We start from the raw sequence: 26,149 nt of genomic DNA, 5'->3' as shown, positions 1-26,149 counted from the left end.
TATTGGCTGAAAAAGCTATCTTATGAAATTTTAGAAGCCTGCTATTCCCATAAATCTGGGGGGATATAATAGCCTGGGGGCAGTTGAAAACTGGTTTCTGCACCTTGAAATTCTCACCTCTAAGAAACAGACATGAAACTTGCCAGTTCTCATTAAAATTTAACAGGAAAAACCTCATAAACCATGTTTTATGTGCTGCTGTTTGCCATTTGGTAAATAACCTAACATGTTAACAACTTGAAATGGAGCCACAGTTAGGACTGGCTCTCCAGCCAGTCCAGACTTCAGTGCAAGGAAATCTTTAGCCCATATGACCCAACAGATCCAATGATGTTTGAAGTGTCCATGACAGCTCAAATGCTTTGTAGAAATTAAGCCCCAGTAAGAAAACCACAACTCAAATGTTAAAGAGGAATTATGTTTTCTTTGGCTAGAATTTAGTTTTTAATGGCTGTATATTGGTTTATATTAGAGGCTGAATAGTAGACCTTAATACACCAGGACATACCACAGCATGAGCTGCCTGTTATGCACTGAACATTCAAGTTATTAAGTTGGGAATACCCACCAACGTTCTATAAGCAAACGCAGTTCCTGAGAACACAAGTGGTTTTCCTGAGCAGGTGGGTCAATTGTTCACTGTGGTTATTCTCACTGCAGAGTCATCACTTCCTCAACCCACTCCCATGACCACATGGAAAGTTTATGTTTTATGACTACTTTGTGAAACTTTTCAAGCCTGGTTCATAGAAAGCTCTGTCCAATATGCTGGCACTAGTTTAAAATGGACTGCTGTGGCCCTACAGCCCCACTTGGTGTGATGCTGACAGATGATGAAAACATAATCCTCCCAGTGGGCATAACTAGCACGGTACATATTGTGGTCCACTTTTCCTGGAAGGAGAGCTTGCATGAGGAACAATTGAAGGGCAGTGACTAATGCTTTGACCAGATGGTCTGAGACAAAGAGGTTTGGATAAAACTCTTAGAATTTGAAAGTATTTTTGTCCTATGCAAATGTGTAGCATAAAGTTCCCACTGAAGAGGATGCTCTCGATAATTAGGGGGACAAGTTGTTCTAACATGTAGATGCCAGTCAGGCTTTTTTCCCCCAGTCCCAGTAATGTTTACTCAACATACTTGTTTAAATAGCAGCCATAGTGTCATAAGGGGTTTTAAATAGGCTCAACAAATGGACTTCTCCTCACCAGTGCTGGTTTAGCTATCATTACTACTGAGTGCGTAACTTTTCAGCAATAGCAGCCATCCTTGAACGCTATATAGGCTCTTATATGCTGAATAGATCAGATAGTCACTTGGCAGCAAGTTGATTATTTTGGAGCCCTTCATCCACAGTGGATTTTTTCTTACTGGAATAAACACTTATTCTGGATTTGGATTTGCCTTCTCTGCTTGCCATGCTTTGCCAGCAACACAATCTGTTGACTACTGGATGTCTGGTCATCATCAAGTTAACCCAAATAATATTACTTCTGACTAAGAAAGCTCAATTTACAATGAAAAAAATAAGGCAATAGGTTAGTGTTCATGGGATTTGCTGGTCTTCTGTCCCAGAAATACCTGGCCTTATGGAATATTGAAATTATTTTTTAAAGACTCAGTAACAGTGTCAACTGGAAGATAATACTTTGTGAGGTTTAGATGCTGTCTTACAAGATACAACCTGTTTTTTTATTAAATCCTCTCAGCCATAATATAAAATCTGTGAGTCAAGGGATAGCAATAGGAATGGTTCATTTAATCTAAGAATCTGATTGAGAGATATTTATTCAAATTGAAGAATTATACATCTAAAATTTAAAATGTATTTATTAAGATCATTGCATTCAATCTCACGATCTCTGACTACAAAATGTTGTTCTCAAAAATATAATATTGTAACAATATTTGTTTAAATTACTTGTAGAAATAGTCTAGCTTATTAAACTCAAATATGAACATTTAAACACAAATGATTCACATTAGAATACAATTATTCCATATAATCACAGAGTGCCTGCCACACAGTAGGTTCCACAATAAATATTTGTGGAATAGATGACCTTTAAATAACAAATTTGTCCAGTGAATTTTCAGTATTTTCCATAAATAAAAATTCAATCTGCACATAACTTATTAAGAATATGTCTAGTAGGCTTAAATGTTATTCAGCAGCTCCTTTCTATTCCCTTTTTTAAAGTAATTTTTAAATCATCTCTATGGCTGTCTCTAATGTTAACACAAAAATGTATTACTTATAAGAATATTTCAGCCCATAGTGATTCCATGGAAATAGACTGTATCTGATAAATATTTTTTACTCCTACTTACGACACATATTTCTACCTGAATCAAAACAAGTTAGTTCCAACAAGGAAAAATATAATGACAGCATTTCTTTGAAATAGAAAGAAATACTATTCTAAGGAAAAAATGTATTTTATTGCTTTTTTTATATACTAACCTAAATGTGTTTGCCCTCCTTAGAACTATGAAAAGTCTTCACTTTGTTCCTGGGTTTTATCTTTAATGATCCTGTAAAGTAAACGAGGCTATGTTTTTCTGTTTGTTGCAGGCATTTTAATCCAATTTCTGTAATAGTGAAGCTATGGGGATCTCAAGCAGAGATGGGCTTACATTTTTTAATGGGAGCTGATCTCATGAGATGAGATTTTTGATTTCCCACCTGGTTACCAGAGAGAAAGAAAAACAGAAAAAAGTAGAACTAAACTCTGCATGTAAATTTACATCAATTCTTCAGAGATCTACTAATTTCATGCAACAAAAATAACAGCCTGTGAATTAAACCAAAAAGGAAAATAAATATTAAAATATTTGTCTTGAGATTTAAACACCCATTTTTGAAATGACTTAAAAAACTCTAAGTCACTGGAGATTCGTTGCAACAGTAACAAAAGAAAAAGCTACGTAACAGTTGTTAAACCACTTAGGAATGAAATATTTCCTGACTTTATGTATTAAAGTACAAAAGAAAAAGGTATGATGCATTATCTAAAATTGTGATCACAAAGCTAATAATGAGCTATTTAAAACAAATTATAGTTTCTTAATACAGTGCATCTGTCACAATTCAGCCAAATTCTATAGATTTTTGCCATTAAGAATAATAAAATGCAAAAAACCCTCAGATTTAAAAAAGAGCCAGCCATCAAAATTTTACCTTTTTACTCCATATCAACATTGCTTTGTGATCCAAACATTCTGACATCTTCAAAATTAAGGCTATTCTGATTATATAAATTAAACCTGTATATGATGCAATTCTACATTCACAGGTTTTTACTTCTCTTACTAGGCAAATAGCATATTTATTTCATTCATTGGGTTCACATGCTAAATCAAAGCACTACAATGCACTATGAGAAATGTAGATATCTTCCTCAAGAAGTCAGGAGAAGAGACTGATATGAAAATTACTAAGAATAATATAAGAAAGAATGAAGTTTTTCTGCAACAACATTACGAGTCATGCTGTGGGAACATATTCCTACTTCAGTATTAAGGAATGTATCAAAGAAATGACAATTTTTAAACCTAAGCTCTAAGATTGCTATACCAATAAGTCCCAAATGTCTGGCATAGTTTGTTGCATATGATAGTTACTCTACAGATGATTATTGAATTTATTTATTTATTTTATTTTTATTTATTTATTTATTTTGAGATGGAGTTTCACTCTTGTTGCCCAGGATGGAGTGCAATGGCTTGATCTCAGCTCATAGCAACCTCCGCCTCCTGGATTCAAGCCATTCTCCTGCCTCAGCCTCCACTGTAGCTGGGATTACAGGCATGCGCCACCATGCCTGGCTAATTTTGTATTTTTAGTAGAGACGGGGTTTCTCCATGTTGGTCAGGCTAGTCTCGAACTCCGGACCTCAGATTATCTGCCCACCTTAGCCTCCCAAAGTGCTGGGATTACAGGCATGAGCCACCGCGCCCGGCCTCGAATTTATTTTTTTAGAAAAAAATTATTTTGATATAAGAGAGACACATTATTTAAAGCATGTAAATAATGAACTTTCACAAGCAAATTCAGTTTGTGCCTGACACAGCGGCTAACCATCCTGGTTAATATGTGATAGCAATTAATCCTACTATGTTATCATGCAAAGATTGAGGGCCCATTCCTCAAGGGGAGCACAAGTTGATCTGCAATGCCATTTCACTCTAGAGTGTCACAACTTTAGTTCTAACACAGTAAATGTAACTCTCAAAATTTAATGTTTCCCACTCTAAGCCTGTCAGAAACATTTACAAAATGTGTTTATACCTGATCACTACACCATGAAATACTGATTTTATACGTTAAAAAAAAATTGAGACAAGTAAAAGGAATCCACAATAGCTATTATCATAGAACTGCAGCAGCTATTGTTGTCTGATATTAAACCACCTTCATTACAGGGACCTTTTGTCTTTACACAAACATTTTTGTAAATGTATGACTCAAGAAATATTGTCTGGGGAGAGACTAATGAGCAAGACAGATGAAGAATCTCTGCTTTCAAAAGCTAAATGTTTTCCACAAAGTATATCTTTTATCACCCCAGATTGTCAAAGTCTCCTCAGTTGACCTTTCAAAATTTCAAAAATGTGAAGGGACAAAGCTATCCCTAATAATCTACCAATATCACTGCATCTGCTGAAACATCTTGGTATCCACCATTAGTGAGATGGATGATGGAAGGTGAAAATCAGTAGCTCATCTGAGAAGGGTCGTGTTCATTCCTCTGGTGATAGATGAAAGCTATTTCTCTGTTAGCAGCAATCCTCCTTTATTGTCATGCAAGTCCTGCAGTGGGAACCAACCACATTTTTTTTCCAGTTTGCTCAAGTTAAGTGACACATTCATTTCAGCTGGGATAGATTGCTGCAGGAACTACGCTACGTCCCTAAAAATTGTATTTCTATGTGTGTTGTGGAATCTCCCTCATGTCACCTCTGGCTGAGTTTAAAGATTGACTCTCCTTGAAAACCCAGAAAGCCTTTTAAATTCCTAAACTGAAAGGCAGAAGAACTGGATTCTTGCTGTGTGAGTCTCTAGACAATTAGGTAATTTTGTAAAAGCAATTTGGTCACTCTGCGGCTCTGTTTCTTCATATGTTTCCTTTAAGGGCTTTCTTTAAATATAAAGGGTACACCACAAGTGAAGGTGTGAGAAGTGAAATAAAATAAAGAGTTATCCAACTATAGGTTGAAATAACTCCTGTAAAAGCTTAATAAAAAAGAGAATGTTCAAACAAATCTTGGAAAATAGTCATCTATGACTGACCTGAAACTATCAAAATCCACACTGCTGAAGACCCAGATAACACTGAGGAAGACCTAGATGATATGCCAATAGAGCTTTCAGATTTGCACACTGCCTTATGTAGCCCATATTTGATATTATCTCACCTTTATATATTTGAGTAACTATTTTATTATACCACTTAATTTTTAATAAAATTTCACATAGAAAAAACTACAAAAAGCCTATGGGACATCCATAATCTAACATTTACCCACCACTACAGTTTTTGTACCTCCTCATTACCCCAAAAAGACTGGCCAAAAGACTCTCCCCAAGAAACTTTTTCCCATCTAGAACGTCACAAGAAATATTTTTCTTCTTCTCCTTTTCCTCCATCTACTAAGGTCGAGATAAAGACACACTTCACCCTCAATGACCTAAGAGATTATCCTAAGTCCCAGAGGCCACTTTCTCTTCTATAATGCATACCTTATAACTGGTCTTACCACTGAAGAGTATACAAAAATATGATTCAATAAAATACAAGCGTATCCAAGAAAAAAAACACGAGTACACAAGAAATTGTATACATGATAAAAAATATCCAAGAGAATATAAGAGTATCTAAGAAAAAATCCAAGCATATACCAGAAAATGTATACACGATAAAGAGGCCTTACAGGTAGCATGAAACATGGCCCACAAAGAAAAGAACTAGAATGTCACCCTAATGAGGGACCCTTAAGACTAAATATGGAAACCAAGATTGATTAAGATAAATCATAAGGGAGAAGAAGCCTATGGGGAGTAATCAATCAAGGGTTGTGTTTAAAATAAATAGAATATTTTCCTTCTGTGATTTTTTTATCATTTATTCTGATTCTTCATTATTTGCTCTCTTTCTTTTATTTTGCTTAACTTTTGAATGTCTGCAAAATCGAAAAAAATATATAAATATATGAGTAAAATCTATGATCTTACTAAATCCATGTGCAGTGCATGTGTGTGAGGGGGCTGGGGGATGAAGACAGCAGATACAGGATTATAAAACACTATCTACACCAGAAAGTAATTTATAAACTAATTTTAAGTTAACTCATAAAATCACAGGAAGTAATGATCATACATTTAAATTAAAATCAAAATAATGTGGTATAGGCTTCACATGCTATTATTTCACTGAAGGGCTAGGCACTATGCCAAAAACAATGAGCAGTGACTTTATAGAAAAGGTGAGAAATGGTACCAAAAGGATGGAGAAGATAAAAAGAGAAAGAAGAGAGGAAAGAGGACACTCCAAGTTCATGGGCAGTCTAAACAACAGCTAAATCTCAATGCACAGGGCATTGCACAGGGGATTATAAGGGACATGTGGAAGCTATAGTTCAAGCAGAGAGATAACTTTGATTTTATTTCATATCATAGCCAGAGAATAGGACTACAACTAAAGGATGAGAGTTTATCTTCTTCTCGACAAACTATTTCTCTACTTTAATGTCTGCTTCTATAATTGGGAGGGGAAAAAAACAGTACCTAGCTTTCAGATATTATGAGAATAAAAATAATATATTTGAAGGACAAAGCAAGGGCCTAGTCTTGGTAGGTGACTATTAACTCTAGAAAGTTTTATTACAATAATAAAAGCAAAAACTTGCAAACAACTTAGTTGTCTATCAACAGAATGGACCAAGTAACTGAGGAATTCATTGCTATCACTGGACATGTTCATTTATAGCCTGGACCATTGGTTTATCCAAAAGAAGTTTGATGTATAAAATGATCCATCCAGTATAGTCATGATGATAATAGCTAATATTTGTTGTATTTTTACTTCAGGCACTGTCGTCAGTACTTTATATGAATTATATCATATTTTTCTTGAAGCAAAGTTATGAGGTACTTACTGATATTATAATTAAGTAAATTGCCAAAGGTCACATAGCTCATTGGTAGCAGAGCTAGGATTCAAACCCAAGAAGATTATTAGCTCCAGAGTCTGAACTCCTGGTGACTATATAATACCACCTATAAGGGTAAGTACAGTCATACCTCAGAGATATTGCAGGTTCAGTTCCAGACAAGTGCAATACAGCAAGTATCACAATAAAATGAATCTCACAATATTTTTAGTTTCCCAGTGCACATAAAAGTTATGTTTATTCTGTAGTCCATTAAGTGTGCGACAGCATTATGTCTAAATTTAATTTTAAAATACTTTATTGCTAAAAAATGCTGATGACAATCTGAGCCTTTAGCAAGTCATAATCTTTTTGCTGGTGGAAGGTCTTGCTTTGATGTTGATAGCTGCTGACTGATCAGGGTGGTGGTTGCTAAAGGTCAGGGTTACTGTGACAATTTTTTTTTCTCTTTTTAAATTTATTTTAATCTTTGTGGGTACACAGTAGGTGTATATATTTATAGGGTACATTAGATGTTTTGATACAGACACGCAATACATAATAATCACATCATTGAAAATGGGGTATCTATCCCCTCAAGCATTTATCCTTTGTATTACAAACAATCCATTTACATTCTTAGTTATTTTTAAATGTATAATTAAGTTGTTATTGACTTGCAACAATTTCTTAAAATAAGACAAGGAAGTTTGCCACATGAATTGATTCTTCATTTCACAAAAGATTTCTCTGTAGCATGAGATATGTTTGATAGTCTTTTACCTACTATAGAAGTTCTTTCAAAATTGAAGTCAATCTTCTCAAACCCTGCCGTTGCCTTATCAAATAAATTTACATAATATTTTAAATCCTTTGTTTTCATTTTAACAATGTTCACAGCATCTTCCCCAGGAGTAGAGTCCACTAAAAAAAACCCTCACTTTCTTTGTTCATCCATAAAAAGAAACTCCTCATCCATTCAAATTTTATCATGAGATTGCAGCAATTCAGTCGCATCTTCAGACTCCACTTCGAATTCGAATTCTCTTGCCATTTCCACCACATCTGCAGTGATTTTTATCCACTGAAGCCTTAAATCCTTCAAAGTCATTCATGAGGGTTGGAATCAACTTCCTCCAAACTACTGTTAATGTTGATGTTTTGAATTTGGATGATAATCCTGAAAGACACAGTCCTGAATGCTTAATCGCAAATGTTGAAATCCTGAATGATCAAAATCTCTGAAGTCTAAGTCTCTAAAGTCTAAAATTCCTATCATCTAAAACCCCCCAAATAACTGTCACAGGATAGTCACACCATGTTAGATGGAACTATTATCTTATAATTTTTTTATTTGCATTTGGTGGTAAGTTCAGATGAGTAGCTTGGCCGCGTGATATGGCAACAATGAATACCTCAGTTTAAAAGTGATCATTTGCCTACATTGAAATTCCTTCCAGCTAATGACTTTCCAGGAGTTTTTAATGAATTAAAGCCACTTTTGCCTGAAAAAGTTAGGAAAGTCACTGACTGGCTTAACAATAATTATGTGCATGATAGAATAAGAATACACTTACACAACGGTGTTGCTGTTATATCACCAATATTGTTTCTGCTAAATTTGCAGTCTGTGTATGAATGCATGTGGAATGGATTTCCACATACACAAAACTACATAGAAGCATGACACAAAAGATGGAAAATTTAGCAGGGAATGCTCACGTTGGTATATATTGAATCATATAAGAATTTGAAAGACAGTGGTGCCACATAGAAAGTGAATGTAAACTATTTTCCTAGGAGAGCCATATCCTAAAAGAAAAAAGAAAAAAAAAAAGCTATTCATTGTGATGCAAGACTTAAAAATACAGTTAATGATCATGAAAATCTGCCAGCTCTTATGGATTATCTTCTGCAATTACCCATAATCTATCCCTGTAATACACTTCTTCATGTGTTGAATTTTTTTTTTTAGTTTTGAGGGTGGTGTTCTTGTTTCTTTTTCTTTTTTCTATTTTTTCACTATTTTTAATTGTCAGCATTACTTTTTTACAATTTGCTATGTTATAAATTTTGTCTTCCCATAATTTCCAATATTGGAGGTATAAATTGTATGGAGACTTTTAGAGCATTTGAATGTGTTTTATACATTTTTTTGCAAATTTTACTCTATGAAAGTGCATTATCACAATGTTACCTGTGTGTAATCACTTTGCATGTATGTAAAAATGTTGAAATTTCTTCAGTAAATGAAGAGATGTCCTTTTTGTACATCTGCATTTGTGAAGGATAAAATTTTTCAGAATCTCAGCTCTCTGGGTGACTGCATATGTGGTGGTGACCCATCATGGTTTTTCATTGATCTTGTTTAAAGACTTAGGTTTTTCATCACACTATTTCCAATGGCTGCAATTATAAAGCTGAGTGCACACAACTATCAATCATATTGATATGAATTTATTCATTTTCCTTTTTGACCTATTTATTTATGAATATGATTCACCCAGTCAGAACTGTTATATTCATGCAAGTGTCATTAATATACTTCAGTGTTTATATTTGCAAAACTATATGTTATTATTGCCTATTTTATTGTGTAAAGTGGAATCATTTTTAGGGACTCTCTCTGAACCTATTCTAGTTCATGAGGCTGTCTGATTCACAATAAAATTATATAATTTTTAAAGTTTTTTTCTCAGAATTTTATTTTCAGGATTTTGATGTTTCAGGATTGTGATCTTCAGGATTTTAGACGTCAAAGATTTTGATCTTTTGAATTCAATATCAGAATTACTGCATTCAGGGTTGTATCTTTTGAGATTATAATCGTCTCTTGATATTTTGACCTCCTCTCATTAATCATTAATGTTATTAATGACATTTAGAATGGCAAATCCTTTCCAGAAGTCTTTCAATTTACTTTGCCCGGTTCCATCAGAGGAAAATTATATACTGCACCTATAGTCTTATGAAATGTACTTATTAAGTAAAAAGACTTCAAAATCAAAATTACTCTTGGATCCATGGGCTGCAGAATGGATGTTGTGTTAGCAGGCATGAAAACAATGTTACTCTCTTATACATGTCCACTGGAGCTTTTGAATCACCAAGCACATTGACTATGAGTAGTAACATTTTAAAAAGAATCTTTTTCTCTGAGAAGTAGGTCTCAACAGTGGGCTTATAATATTCAGTAAGTCATGCTGTAAACAGATATGCTATCATCCAGGCTTCGTTGTTTTATTTATAGACCACAAGCAGAGTAAATTTAGCATAATTCTTAAGGGCCCTAGGATTTTCAGAAAGGTAAATGAGCATTGGCATCAACTTTCAGTTACCAGATGCATTAGTGCTTAACAAGAGAGTCAGTCTGTCCTTTGAAGCTTTGGAGCAGGCATCGACATCTGCTCTCTAACTTTGAAAGTCCTAGCTAGCATCTTCTTTCATTAGAAAGTTGTTTCATCTGCACTGAAAAGTTGTTATTTAGTGTAGCCATTTTCATCAATTATATTAGCCAGTTCTTCTGGATAATTTGCTGCAGCTTCTACATGAGGACTTGTGGGTTCACCTTGCACTTCTATATTATAGAAATGTCTTCTTTCCTTATACCTTATGAGCCAATCTGTGTTAGCTTGCAACTTCTTCAGCTTCCTCACCTCCCTCAGCCTTGATAGAATTGAAAAGAGTTAGGGCCTTGCTATGAATTAGGTTTAGGTTTAAGGGAATGTTGTAGCTGCTTTGATCTTCTATCCAGACCACTAATACTTTCTCCATGTCATAAATTAGGCTGTTTCACTTTCTTACCATTCATGTGTTCACTGGCATAGCACTTTTAACTTCCTTCAAGAACTTTTTCTTGTATTCACAGCTAAGCTGGTTGGCACAAGAGGCCTAGCTTTCAGTCAGTCTTGGCTTTTGACATGCATTTTTTACTAAGCTTCATCATTTCTAGCTTTTGATTGGAAGTGAGAAGCACATGACTCTTCCTTTCACTTGAACAATTACCTTACAGGTTATTGTAGGGTTATTAATTGGCCTAATTTCAATATTGTGCCTCAGGGAATAGGGAGGCTCAAGGAGAAGAGAGATGGGGTAATGGTCAACTAGTAGAACAGTCAAAAAACACACATTTATCAGTAAAGTTTGCCATCTTATCTGGGTGCAGTTCCTGGTGCCCCAAAACAATTACAATAGTATCATCAAAGATCACTGATCATAGATCACCATAACAGACTTACGTAATAATTAAACATTTGAAATATTATAAGAATTACCTAAATATGACTCAGAGACATGAAGTCAGTACATACTGTTGGGAAAATGGTATTGATAGACTTGCCCAACTCAGAATTGCCACTAACCTTTAAGTTGTAAAAACACAGTATCTGTGAAGCACAGTAAAGCAAAGTGCAATGAAACGAGGTATGCCTGTATATAGAAATTGTTTATTCCTTTCTTCTTATCTAATACAGGGATACCTAGTGTCTGTAATCCTGCACTTCTGTCAAGAAAAGGAATTTTTAAACACAAAGAAACAATATGAAAAACGATGACTGCTCTTCTATGTAAAGATGAAAGGTAGATATGGCAGCCTCACCACCACCACGTATCCTCTCTCTGTGTCTTTCATGTTTATCTGTCCAGCTGTCTCTCTGTTCTTTCCTCCTCAGCACAAACTCCAGTTAGAGGAGTGGAGGAGTAAGAAGCACAGGAGAAAAAAAAAGTAAGAATAAAACTTGAAGCAGGGAAACAGAAAACTGCAGCAAGAGAGGAGAGTAAAAAGAAAAAAAAAAAAAAGAAGAAATGCATATTGAATCACCATTGAGTTAATAGACCCAGTTTTTACTTCTGATGACCTTTGCTCCTGATGCTTCCTTTATTTAGAGTTTTTTAAAAAATATTTGCCTGATAAAACAGTATCAAAATTGCATGTAAATTGAGTACTGAACACACAATCCTGAAACACTAAACTACTTATAATCTCCAAACTCCTTTTAATCCTCAGTGCCTGTGCACATGCATTCCATCCCATCTCTCTCACTTGCAGAATTTCCATAAATACTTAAAAAACAACCCAAGAGGAACTTCTTCTATGTGTTCTTCCTTGATCAATCCATAATTATTCATGCTTCTCTCTGTGTTTCTGATCTTGTATCATAGAAACCTCTACAAATTCAGCACTTGATAATTAATGGACTTACATGTTTTTCTCTTGATTGACATCTAGACCACATTGAGTAATCTTGTACTGTATTTGATTCATCTGTTACTGGTGCCTGGTACTACTGTAGAGCAGTAGAAGAGTAGAAGGTGTACTCTACTACTGTACCAGGCATCGGTAATATATGGTAGCATATAGTAGGCACTCAGTAAGTATTTTTTGAATTGATCTTCTGTTAGGCATGGTGTTCACAGGAGAAAGAAATAAAGACAAACAGGACATAATTGTCATCGTCCAGGAGGCCAGAGGCCAGTGAACCAATCGAACAATGTTATAAGTGCTGCAGTAAAGAAAAGCACTGATATTGTAAGGAAGAATGCCAGGAAATGGAGCTCTGATCTGGACCTTAAAAGTTCACTAGGCAGTTAAGAAACAAGTGGAATTTTCAGGAGAGACTATATAGAGTGATTCATGAAATAATGTAAACTCTGGAAAAATATAAGAAATTCAAAATGGCTGCATTGGCTCAGGTACATATGGGAAAATGACTGGAAATATAGTTGAGACTTGAGTAGAAGCAGATCATGAAAGGCCATCATCAAAAAGACTTTCCATGAACAGCCCATGCCTCCCTTGAAGCAGGATGCTGTCATTTCATGTATCATAAAGTCAGATCCATTTCAACAGTGTATTAATAAAGGATGGATATTTTACTGAAAATTGTGTGGAAAGACAGAAATAATTACATCACAAACTATTTTGTAAATATTCTTTAAAAAATCTTCTAGGAAGTAATCATATGGTTTATCATCTAAATCAGGGCACTTGAATAATTTTCCTAGATTAATATACAAATACTGGAACTGTCAGGGAAACTGAGGATGTATAGTCACCCCATGCCTTTAAGTGCTGCTATCCCCAAATTTTATCTGGATACATCAATTACCCTCCTCCTTGTTCCTCCAATCTTCTTTCCCTACATCATCCTGTCTATCAACCCATCCTTCTATTATCACCTTCATTTCCCAACCACCTTCTTCTCTTTCTCCACCACCTGTCTCATTATTTCATTATGTCTCTTTTCTTAAGGATGAGAAATTTAGCCCTCTATTAATTTCTCCCATTTATAGCCTAATACCCAGCATCTACTTAGTAAAGAAAGAACCTTCTTTAGGATTTGTTCTTCTTAGAAGACAATGAATATTGAAAAAAAAAAAAAAAGCGTGATTCCCTATGACAATTTTTCCCCTAGCATCTGTGCAAAGGAAATGAAAAGAAAGCTTACTTAGCACATATACACATGAATAAGAAATACATTAAAATATTCAACTTGAGTCATAATTTTAATATTATACAAAAAAAAATCCAAAGTGAAAAGAGTTTGCTAATGATAGCACTTGGCATTGGAAAGGGCATGGAAAACGCAGCACTCAAGTGCTGCTAGTGGAAGTACAGCAATGTACTTCCTGGTTCATGTACTTCTGGATGATGATTCGGCAGTACTTATTTTAAAACATCAAAATATATATATATATATAATTCAACACAGAAATTGTGCTTCTAGAAATGAGATGAATAACTACTTAGGGATGAGTACAAATAGTTGGTTATAGGATGGGCGCAATGGCTCATGCTTTTAATCCCAGCACTTTGGGAGGCCGAGGCAGGCAGATCACCTGAGGTCAGGAGTTTGAGACCAGCCTGACCAACATGGAGAAACCCCATCTCTACTAAATATACAAAATTAGCCAGGCGTGGTGGCACATGTCTGTAATCCCAGCTACTCGGGAGGCTGAGGCAGGAGAACAGCTTGAACCCAGGAGGCGGAGGTTGCAGTGAACCAAGATTGTACCGTCACACTCCAGCCTGAGCAACAAGAGCGAAACTCCTCTCAAAAAAAAAAAAAAAAAAAAAAAAGTTGGTTATAATATTGTTTATCACAGCAATGTTTATAATAGAGAAAAGTAAGAAAGCACCTGAATATTTACAATAGAGAGTCGTTTTAATAATTTATGTGACATCCACACACAGGATGCAGCTATTTTAAATGATACTGTAGATCAGCATTTTCCTAATCCTTTTAGCAGTAAAACCATTTTGTCAAAAACCTCCTACGCATACCTGCAATATATAAAATGAATACAAGCAGAGCTTCTCTGTTTGAAATCAGGTAAAATGGCTGAGAAAATTTAGCCCTGCTTTTATAATCCACTATGGCTTTTGCATCTTTGATAAATCTCATTGCACATAAGTGTTACTAACATGGGAAATTTTTCACAATAGGATCAGAGAAACAAAAGATAGCTACAAAATAAGTGTAGACAAATTTGTTCAAAAAAGTAGGTGGATGAAGGACAATAGAGTCAGAATCCGTTATCAAAAAAACAAGTCCTGTTAGTAGTGGATAAGAATCCCACTCGAATCCAGAGGATAATGCAGCCTAGTTCTTTATTTTTCCCATCAGATTGCCCTACAACACCTCTGGGTAGTGTTCCAGCATTCAGAACACCTTTATTCTTGGCTCCATCTGGGAGTGCAATTTTTACCCCTTAGAGTCCTGCTTACAGATTCTTCAGAATAATAGCATCTTACTACTATTGATATCTTTCAAGGTACAACTTGATGCTTTATTAGGTAAAAGAACTCCTTTCCTCAACCACTCAACACACATCAGAGGTAAGTATAAAAAATAATAGGTGGAATGAAAAGGACAAAGCCTCCTAAGACATAGACTTAGATCTAGGATTCAATTTCAGCCACTTTATTTCATTTTTTTCCCTGATTCTTGATATTCTTAGGTTACTGTTTTTGTAAATGCTAGCATCCAAGTCACCTCCTTCTATACTTTACTCCCACACTAAATCAGGAGTAACAGGTGTGACCAATAGAGTATAGCACAAGATGGGATGTGTAATTTCTGAGGCAAAATCATAGATGTCATTGCAGCTTCCACTTTGCTCTTTTGGATTGCTTGCTCTTGTAAAGGCCGGCTACATTCCCCTAAGAACACTTAAAACATGGAGAAGCCCACATGAACAGGAAGTGAGGGCCCTGAACCACAAAAAGCACAACTTGCCAGCCATGTAAATGTTCCTCCTTGAAAGTGAATTCTCCAGTCCCAGTCAAGCCTTCAGATGGCTGCAGCACCAGTAGATATCCAACTGCAACTTCATGAGAGATCCTAAGCAAAAACTGACAAACAGAATCCCCTCCAGATCCCCGACTCACAGAAATTAATAATGGTTATAGTTGTTTTAAGCCAGTAAGTATTATTGTAATTTGTTGTGGAGCAATGGATAATGAAAACACTCTTACCCAAATTAATTGTGAACGGGAAGTATCTTCCTGAATCTCTTATCTCAGAGGATCCATAGGCCTTTCAATAATATGAACCTGATCAGTGCAGCAGAGCAAGGCTATTCATAATTCCTGCCAGCACTTGTTAAATTCTAACTCCCTTTGCACTACTCTATAGTCTCATTTTAGCTGAAAAGTCTTTCTTTCTCTTTTAGTTCTTGACTATTTCTATCCTTCCAATAATATCTATTGCCAATACTTAAAATACATTCAAAGGAAGGATAGATAGGAAGGAAGGAAGGAAGGAAGGAAGGAAGGAAGGAAGGAAGGAAGGAAGGAAGGAAGGAAGGAAGGAGTAGCCATCTATTAATAGATAAAAAGGAGGTTCATATTTGCTAAGCGCTTCTAAAAGGCAAAAATAAAAAAAAGTGCCACAGAGAGACTAATAAACAAATTTATATTTTTTTATTAGTTTGTGAGACTGGAAACCTGGTACAGGTGTTCCCTGCTCAAGAACCTGATTCCAATTCACTTCAGCTGTCAGCATCTTCTGCTACTTCCCTCCCAGTATCACATCCACATTCATTTAAGATACATTGCAATTTTTGATGACCACACGTTTAATTAGCATTCAGTCCTGTTGATGGAATTGAGACTCGAAATTAGGGTGTCTTCAACAACATAATTTGTTTATCTCACACATAAAAAGTCTGACTTAACAAAGCTGCTCTTCTCTGCAAAAGTATCAGGACCTAGGTTTGTTCCCTTATTTTTTTTTTTTTTTTTTTTTTGCCATCACTGAGGTACTGTCCTTGTCCACATGATCCACAATAAAGCAGAGTGGATGGCAGGGATAGGAGAAATCGTTCTCATTTATTCCGTTCACATTCAGTTGACAGGAACATTGTCACATGAATATGGATACTGCAAGAAGGCTGAGAACTCAAAGCAGGATTTCTCAGTATTTATTCCCCCTTCAGTATATATCACACATAGGTATAAGACTCAGCTATGGCTGTATGCAAATTTTAAAAATACCTCATTACAGGCTTGGACATATTTTTCAATTCTTTTTACTTTACATCCCTTTTGATTAATATTAAAATCTCAATCATCTCCCCTTACTCTCTACCCTAACCACGTAGTGAATATTGCTTTCTCAAGCAATGGCTGGTGCAATTGCATTCCAACAATTGCTGTGACATTTAAACTATTAGAACTATATCTAGGCTGCATTGATGAAATGTTCTAAGGTGATTTATTACACAAGAAGTAGATTTCCTTCCACACAAACCTTCATAAAACAACATAATGATCATTTTATTGCCAAAGAACTTGAGTGATGATTTTCTCCATCTGTAAAACTTATATTAAACAACCTGAGTCATGTTATTTTTAAATTGCAAATGATAATTAAATGATCCAGTTATAAATAGTATAAATCACTCATTATCTTATTTTTCTTCTTGGATCTGTAACTATTCTTGTGATAAATATCCTTAAAAATCAGTCTACAATGTAGAATGCGGTGAAAACACAAATTCAGTGCAACAAATATTAACAACACTCACCATACAACAGGCTGTGTGTTTGGTGGTTAGGATAAGCCCACTGTAAAGCACTTAAACTGAAATTCGAATAAGGAGAAGGATTTAATCAAATGCAGGTAATAAGGGCAATTCATCCATGGCAACATTTCATCAAAGGTCTAGAGGAAAGAAACTGGCCCCTTCAAGTTCATTATGTAAAGATCATAAAGAATCAGAGATGATCAAGTCATGAAGTTGGAGACAGAGTCACCAACTGTATCATGCAAGAGTTTTAGGGATTTTATCCTAAGGTCAATTGGAATCCATTGAAGAGTATCAGGTAGGGGACTAAAATAAGTAAATGTTTTTTGAAGAAATCATTCTATCTTTCGTGAGAAGAGAACATATGGTAGTAAAAACAAAACCTAAGGATGGAGAGCAGGCAAAACTGCATGTGGATAAAGTAATTTTAAAAGCAATTGAAATAATCCAAGCAAGAGGCTGGAGACTGACAATGAATACAGGAATACAGGAAATGTGAATGGATCTGAAACTATTTAACAAGCAGAACTGTCATGACTTACACAGGAAAAATTAAAAGATGGGGAAAAAAGATGTTAATACAGTTACTCTGTGTAATAGTATTCCAGCTAACTTTTATTCTGATTCCTATTTTTTTATACCCTCCAAAATGTCTGCAGTAAACAATATGAATTGGGAAAGCTGATCTAATCTAAAGGTGCCATTTGTTTTATATTATACAATTGTAATAATAAAAATAATACACAGAAAATAATCCTTCAGGTGCCAATGCTTTGACAAGACTACGGGTGGTTTATTTCTTCCTCTTTGGTGGGCTTTGCAAATGTTTTGCAATTTATTTTTAATTTATCTAAACATTTACTCAACAAATATTCATTAAACACCTACACTCTCCCCATCTCTCTGCTAAGGACTGGGGATGTAGCAGCAATAAAAACTGACAACAGCCCCTGCCTTCACAAAGTTTACATTCTAGTGGTAGTGGCAGACATCAGAAAATAAACAAGGTAAATAAGTAAAATACGTAGTATCGTAAATGGTTAGTAAATTCATTTTGATCTATTTTTAATTGCCAAAATAAACTTCTTCCAGTACAATAAGAGCAAAGTGAAGGAGAAATGGAACAAACAGGTAACGTTCAAACAACATGGACTCAAATGCCATCCCTTCATCCCTTCTTTGTCATTACCACCCAATAATAAAGCTTCTATCTCCACTCCTTGAACTCAAAGCACTTTGCCTTTACAGGTGTATAGCACTTATCTGGTTATTAGAGTTGCTGAACATATTTTTGTTTCTCTTTTCCAGCCTGGAATTTTGAATAGACAATGTTTGAAAATAGTGGTAGGGAGAGAGCCATTGTTCTTATATTTTAATATTAAGTAGTTAATACACCACAAACGAACTTCATTTTTCCTCTACAGACTCTTTAATTATGAGAAATATGCATTTATTATGAATTAGGAAATGTCTATTACAAATCCTATTTCTCAAAGAATTCCATATTTGTAAATAGAACTTTCTATTTAAAAAATCTGCTTTTATGAACATCATCTTTTTAAACATCATCTTTTAAGCCTCACAAACCTAATGATAATGTGCATCTGACTGGCTGCAAATTTTAGTTGGGAGATATTTCCAGAATGGACAGATTTTATTCACACACATGATCCACAAATAAGAAGTCACTCCGCCACCCATTGGCAACCAGTCACATCACAACCTCTGCAGCTAACAGAGTTGGGAATTGCTTATTTGAGGCTGTGAACAGTGAACAACAGATGTCAGAGAAGATCATCACAGCCCTGCTAAACTTTTGGAATGATATTGAAATTTTCAGGTGAATTATCTCATAGTTAAGTGAAAGGTTTCATGTGTATTTTGCCTGTCTTTTGTTTTATGCTAAGAAAACAAAGCTTCTATTCTAACTACAAATTAATGTTTTGTTTTTTTAAGGGTAAAATAAATGTGTTCATTTAATATTCAGGATCCATTTGCTAATGCATCTTAAAAATTAATAGCATGCAAAACATTGTGTTTTTAATGAAAGGATTTGAACATCCCTTATAATGTGCAAAGACTAAGTGTATTTTATAAACTTAGTGAAAATAATTCACCAAGTACAGTATGATAAGCTCTTAGCTGCAAAGGGTACTCACAAATCCTGATGCTAGAGGAATTATGATTTGGGGGTAAGCTATTTCAAACCTCAATAACTTTGCTCCCTTTGGGTTATGGTGGGAATATGGTTTATTGATTTTTCTCAAAACATCTAGTGCTTTTCAATGAGGCAAAATTTCAAGTATCTTTATGCAGTAATTTCAAAATTCTCCTCAAACTATAAACAAAGATTTTTTTCCTGTATAGTGACTATGAAGCAACAAATATTATAATGCAGATCAGGCTCCTCATGATAGCAAAAAAGAAATGTGATTATAGATAAAAATCGTCATCCGAAGTAATACCTTTCCCTGAGAGCCAGCAGCATGCTTCTGTAGCCCATGGTATTTAACCCTGCTTTCTACAGAGCATGCACTTTTTAAAAAACATAAGTCCATACAACATAAAGGCAGATTGAAATGAATAGGGTATACACATCTAAGTGCAAAGTTTTACAAAAGAAGAATAATGATTTTACTAATTAAAATTAAAAACAAATCCAAAATAATAGAAAATGTGTCATGTATTTGTCAAAGAACGCAGAAAATTGTTTTTAAACTGAAAAGAAATGAAATATTACAGAGTTTTTAAGAACAGGTTTTTAAATTACATCTTCAATTAATTTTTTAAAAGGATCAACAAAATTGATAGACCGCTAGCAAGACTAATAAAGAAAAAAAGAGAGAAGAATCAAATAGATGCAATAAAAAATGATAAAGGGGATATCACCACCGATCCCACAGAAATACAAACTACCATCAGAGAATACTACAAACACCTCTACGCAAATAAACTAGAAAATCTGGAAGAAATGGATAAATTCCTTGACACATACACTCTCCCAAGACTAAACCAGGAAGAAGTTGAATCTCTGAATAGACCAATAACAGGAGCTGAAATTGTGGCAATAATCAATAGCTTACTAACCAAAAAGAGTCCAGGACCAGATGGACTCACAGCCGAATTCTACCAGAGGTACAAGGAGGACCTCATACCATTCCTTCTGAAACTATTCCAATCAATAGAAAAAGAGGGAATCCTCCCTAACTCATTTTATGAGGCCAGCATCATCCTGATACCAAAGCCAGGCAGAGACACAACCAAAAAAGAGAATTTTAGACCAATATCCTTGATGAACATTGATGCAAAAATCCTCAATAAAATGCTGGCAAACCGAATCCAGCAGCACATCAAAAAGCTTATCCACCGTGATCAAGTGGGCTTCATCGCTGGGATGCAAGTCTGGTTCAACATACGCAAATCAATAAACGTAATCCAGCATATAAACAGAACCAAAGACAAAAACCACATGATTATCTCAATAGATGCAGAAAAGGCCTTTGACAAAATTCAACAACCCTTCATGCTAAAAACTCTCAATAAATTAGGTACTGATGGGACGTATCTCAAAATAATAAGAGCTATCTATGACAAACCCACAGCCAATATCATACTGAATGGGCAAAAACTGGAAGCATTACCTTTGAAAACTGGCACAAGACAGGGATGCCCTCTCTCACCACTCCTATTCAACATAGTGTTGGAAGTTCTGGCCAGGGCAATTAGGCAGGAGAAGGAAATAAAAGGTATTCAATTAGGAAAAGAGGAAGTCAAATTGTCCCTGTTTGCAGATGACATGATTGTATATCTAGAAAACCCCATTGTCTCAGCCCAAAATCTCCTTAAGCTGATAAGCAACTTCAGCAAAGTCTCAGGATACAAAATCAATGTACAAAAATCACAAGCATTCTTATACACCAATAACAGACAAACAGAGAGCCAAATCATGAGTGAACTCCCATTCACAATTGCTTCAAAGAGAATAAAATACTTAGGAATCCAACTTACAAGGGACGTGAAGGATCTCTTCAAGGAGAACTACAAACCACTGCTCAATGAAATAAAAGAGGATACAAACAAATGGAAGAACATTCCATGCTCATGGGTAGGAAGAATCAATATTGTGAAAATGGCCATAGTACCCAAGGTAATTTATAGATTCAATGCCATCCCCATCAAGCTACCAATCAATGACTTTCTTCACAGAATTGGAAAAATCTACTTTAAAGTTCATATGGAACCAAAAAAGAGCCCACATCACCAAGTCAATCCTAAGCCAAAAGAACAAAGCTGGAGGCATCACACTACCTGACTTCAAACTATACTACAAGGCTACAGTAATCAAAACAGCATGGTACTGGTACCAAAACAGAGAGATAGATCAATGGAACAGAACAGAGCCCTCAGAAATAACGCCACATATCTACAACTATCTGATCTTTGACAAACCTGAGAAAAACAAGCAATGGGGAAAGGATTCCCTATTTAATAAATGGTGCTGGGAAAACTGGCTAGCCATATGTAGAAAGCTGAAACTGGATCCCTTCCTTACACCTTATACAAAAATTAATTCAAGATGTATTAAAGACTTAAATGTTAGACCTAAAACCATAAAAACCTTAGAAGAAAACCTAGGCATTACCATTCAGGACATAGGCATGGGCAAGGACTTCAGGTCTAAAACACCAAAAGCAATGGCAACAAAAGCCAAAATTGACAAATGGGATCTCATTAAACTCAAGAGCTTCTGCACAGCAAAAGAAACTACCATCAGAGTGAACAGGCAACCTACAAAATCGGAGAAAATTTTTGCAACCTACTCATCTGACAAAGGGCTAATATCCAGAATCTACAATGAACTCAAACAAATTTACAAGAAAAAAACAAACAACCACATCAAAAAGTGGGTGAAGGATATGAACAGACACTTCTCAAAAGAAGACATTTATGCAACCAACAGACACATGAAAAAATGCTCATCATCACTGGCCATCAGAGAAATGCAAATCAAAACCAAAATGAGATACCATCTCACACCAGTTAGAATGGCGATCATTAAAAAGTCAGGAAACAACAGGTGCTGGAGAGGATGTGAAGAAATAGGAACACTTTTGCACTGTTGGTGGGACTGGAAACTAGTTCAACCATTGTGGAAGTCAGTGTGGCGATTCCTCAGGGATCTAGAACTAGAAATACCATTTGACTCAGACATCCCATTACTGGGTATATACCCAAAGGACTATAAATCATGCTGCTATTAAGACACATGCACACGTATGTTTATTGTGGCACTATTCACAATAGCAAAGACTTGGAACCAACCCAAATGTCCAACAATGATAGACTGGATTAAGAAAATGTGGCATATATACACCATGGAATACTATGCAGCCATAAAAAATGATGAGTTCATGTCCTTTGTAGGGACATGGATGAAATTGGAAATCATCATTCTCAGTAAACTATCACAAGGACAAAAAACCAAACGCCGCATGTTCTCATTCATAGATGGGAATTGAACAATGAGAACACATGGACACAGGAAGGGGAACATCACACTCTGCAGACTGTTGTGGGGTGGGAGGAGGGGGGAGGGATAGCATTAGGAGATATACCTAATGCTAAATGACGAGTTAATGGGTGCAGCACACCAGCATGGCACATGCATACATATGTAACTAACCTGCACATTGTGCACATGTACCCTAAAACTTAAAGTATAATAATAATAATAATAAATAATAATAAAGTAAAAAAATAATAAATAAATAAATAAATAATAGAATAGTGTAGTTAATAACTCATCATATAGAAATATTTCTCAGATATCCTGAAACACATTACCCTATAAACAGGGCATAACTGGAGACAGACTGAGATTATGGGTGATTTTTATTTTTTCTTTTTATACTTTTTGGTAACCTGGATAAAAATTGCTTTTCTAAACAAGAAAATTTTTAAGATATCAACAATATATCATATCACTTACTTTTTTTTTGCTGATCAGACTTTTTCTCTTTTTTTTTCTGAGACAGAGTCTCACTCAGTCATCCAGAATGAAGTACAGTGGCATGATCATGGCTCACTACAGCCTCAACCTTGGGGGCTCAAACCATCCTCCCACCTCAGCCTCCCAAGGAACTAGGATCACAGGAATCCACCACCATGTCTGGCTAATTTTTATTTTATTTGTTGTAGAGACAGGGTCTTCTTATGTTTCTCAGACTAGTTGTGAGCTCCTGGGCTCAAGCAGTCCTCCTGACTCCACCTCTCACAGTGTGAGGATTATAGGCATGAGCCACCATACCCAGACCAGATTTTTCTTTATAAATAATACAAATCACCCTTACCTCCAGCCAAATTAGCATAAATTTCAAATTACTGGTGTCCATTTAAATGTAATTGTGTAATTTTCTTCCTTATATAAATATATTTATTTCTTATAAATATGAAAATAATATTATTAATAAAGTACCTTTTACCATGCATTTATTTCATGCCAGACAAAATGCTAATTATTTTTTAATCATCCTAGAAATCTGCTGAAGTAGTATAATTCTTATTTTACAACAAACAAACTGGAGCCCACTAAAATATTTTCCCTACATTTGCACAGCTCCGAAGTCATGATTTCAGCCCTTATCTAAAGAACTCTAATCCTGTGCTCTTTCAACTACACTTCACAGCAATATAGAGAGCTAGGCATTACAGAGATTTAAAATAAGTAGAAAATATCTGCGATACCCCGAACAATTTCACAATCTAGGTATAGAGAAGATACAATAACTGTAAATGACTGTTTACAAATGATTGATAATTATAATATTCTAATATCATTTGTTATGCACTGTACTAAATACTTTACATAGATTATCTCCTTTATTTCCACAACTGACATCTGACAAGTTTCTGCATAAATCCTATTTCACAGAGAAGTGTTCTTCGGCCTCCTAATCTACACCAGATCCCTGTGTCATGTGCTCATTATAACTGACTCTCTTCCTCCAGTTTTCAGTTTTGTATTTATTGGATGAAAGATTTCACGAGGGCAGTGAAAACTGGTGTTTTTTGTTCTCACTCCCCACAAACTGTTGGACACATTTAAAATATCACTGGGTAGAGAAAAAATTAAAATTAATATTTATATCTCTTGAGTCACTTAAAAATACAGAGGAATGTTTCTATTCATAATCTACAGTAAACATCTAAAAATATCTTTATCTCATCTCTCTCTCACTATCTCACTTGTAGTATAGCTGACACCAAAATCTTCTTCCTCTTTCTCTCTTAACTTTCTAAAATTATCTTTCAAAACTTTATTTTTGCTGTATCTCTTTTTTTACTGTATCTTTTTTTATCTTCTATCCTCTCTCACTCTTCAGATGTCTCAGGTTTCAAATTTGGATCCTTTCAATTTATTGAATCTATTAATTATTCTAATTATTCTCAACAAAGTTTCAGAGACAGAAGTGAAAAATAAAGAAAGAACAGAGGAGATAGATATATCTTGCATGTCAGTCTAAAGAGTGGTCGTTCCTCTGTTGTATGGTGGTAGGATATTAAAGGTTTATGAGAAATGTCATGATAAAAGCAGTATTCAGTGAAGGCTAAGTGGGCGATATTCTGCAGAATAAATTGTAGGAAAGGAAAGAAATTTGAGAGTAAAAGTTCTGTTATAAGGCCACTATATGGACCTAAGATTGAGATAATGAATACTGATTTGGGGTGTAGGCAGTAAGAATTGAAAAAAAAAATGCATGGATAAAAACAGTAATTATAAAAGAACAGAATTTAAAAGGAATTGCTAGCTAATTGACTGTTCTAATTAGCTGATTGGAAGGAAAGAATCAAGGATGATTCCTCTTACAAGCCTGGCTGAATGTGAGAATGATACAAAGATACTAGGAGTCCAATATCATAATCTCTATCTAGCTTTGACTTTGTAAACATATTAATTATTATGCTTACCAAAAATGATTAAGTATAATTCAATATACTTATAATGCCTTATTATATATAAATGTCCTGCTATATTAATGCACTTTCATTAGTGCTGAATTACTAACAAAGTACATAATAACAATTTGGTAGAAAAAAAGTACATTTATCCTGAAGTGAAGGAGGAAAGTAAGAAAAAAAAACTAATAAAATGGTTAGCCTTTCAATTGCAACTGTATTTGGTAAAAAGAGAAAATACATATAACATTATGTATTAATCTTACTAGAGGTTCCAATCCTTTTACTGTCCCCAGCACAATCAGATAGCATTATCAGGTACAATGTCATCACTATCTTTAATCCAAAGAGGAAGTCATATTTGCCAAGGCAGAACTGCATTTTGAAAGAAACCCTTTAAATGCCAGCTAACCTAAGCTTGTAGGCAGGACAAGCTCCACAGAGATTGCTTCAAACTCTTAATTTATATGGTCATATTTGTAAATAAAGAAATATGTGCAGGGTTTAAAAACACACCACTTAATATTGGTGAAAAGGCCACATTGATTATATATTATTCTTAGTCATAAATCTATGTTCACTACGCAAATTTTTAAAAATCTGACATCTTAAGAGAGAGAATATGCTGTAGTGAGTGACTTGACAATCAGCCAACTTGGCTAGGCTGAACTACATTTCCCAAAAGACCCTTCTTTGTGTGTTTTCTGTGAGAGTGGATCAACCACAGGAGAGATTCTCATGGGGCATTTGGAGGGAGGAATTGAAGCGGCACTCATTTTGTTGCTCACACATCTTACCTATCTTCTGGCTTATGGTGTTGGCATAGGACGGCTACCAGGCCTGCAACTGCTCCACCTTCTCCCAGTTCTCTTTCAGCATTACCAACTACTGGGCCAGATCTGTGTGTTTAGCTCCATGACAACAAGCTCCTTGACTTCTGCAGGACATCAGTGCTATCAAAGTCAGAGGCAATAAGAACTGACACTTCAGTCAGTCCTCGTGGACTTTAGTT

Source organism: Homo sapiens, chromosome 3 (genome assembly GCF_000001405.40).
Source record: "Homo sapiens chromosome 3, GRCh38.p14 Primary Assembly".
In the NCBI taxonomy this organism is placed as follows: domain Eukaryota; kingdom Metazoa; phylum Chordata; class Mammalia; order Primates; family Hominidae; genus Homo; species Homo sapiens.
The sequence above is the reverse complement of the archived record's forward strand: the minus strand, read 5'-3'. Positions refer to the sequence as shown.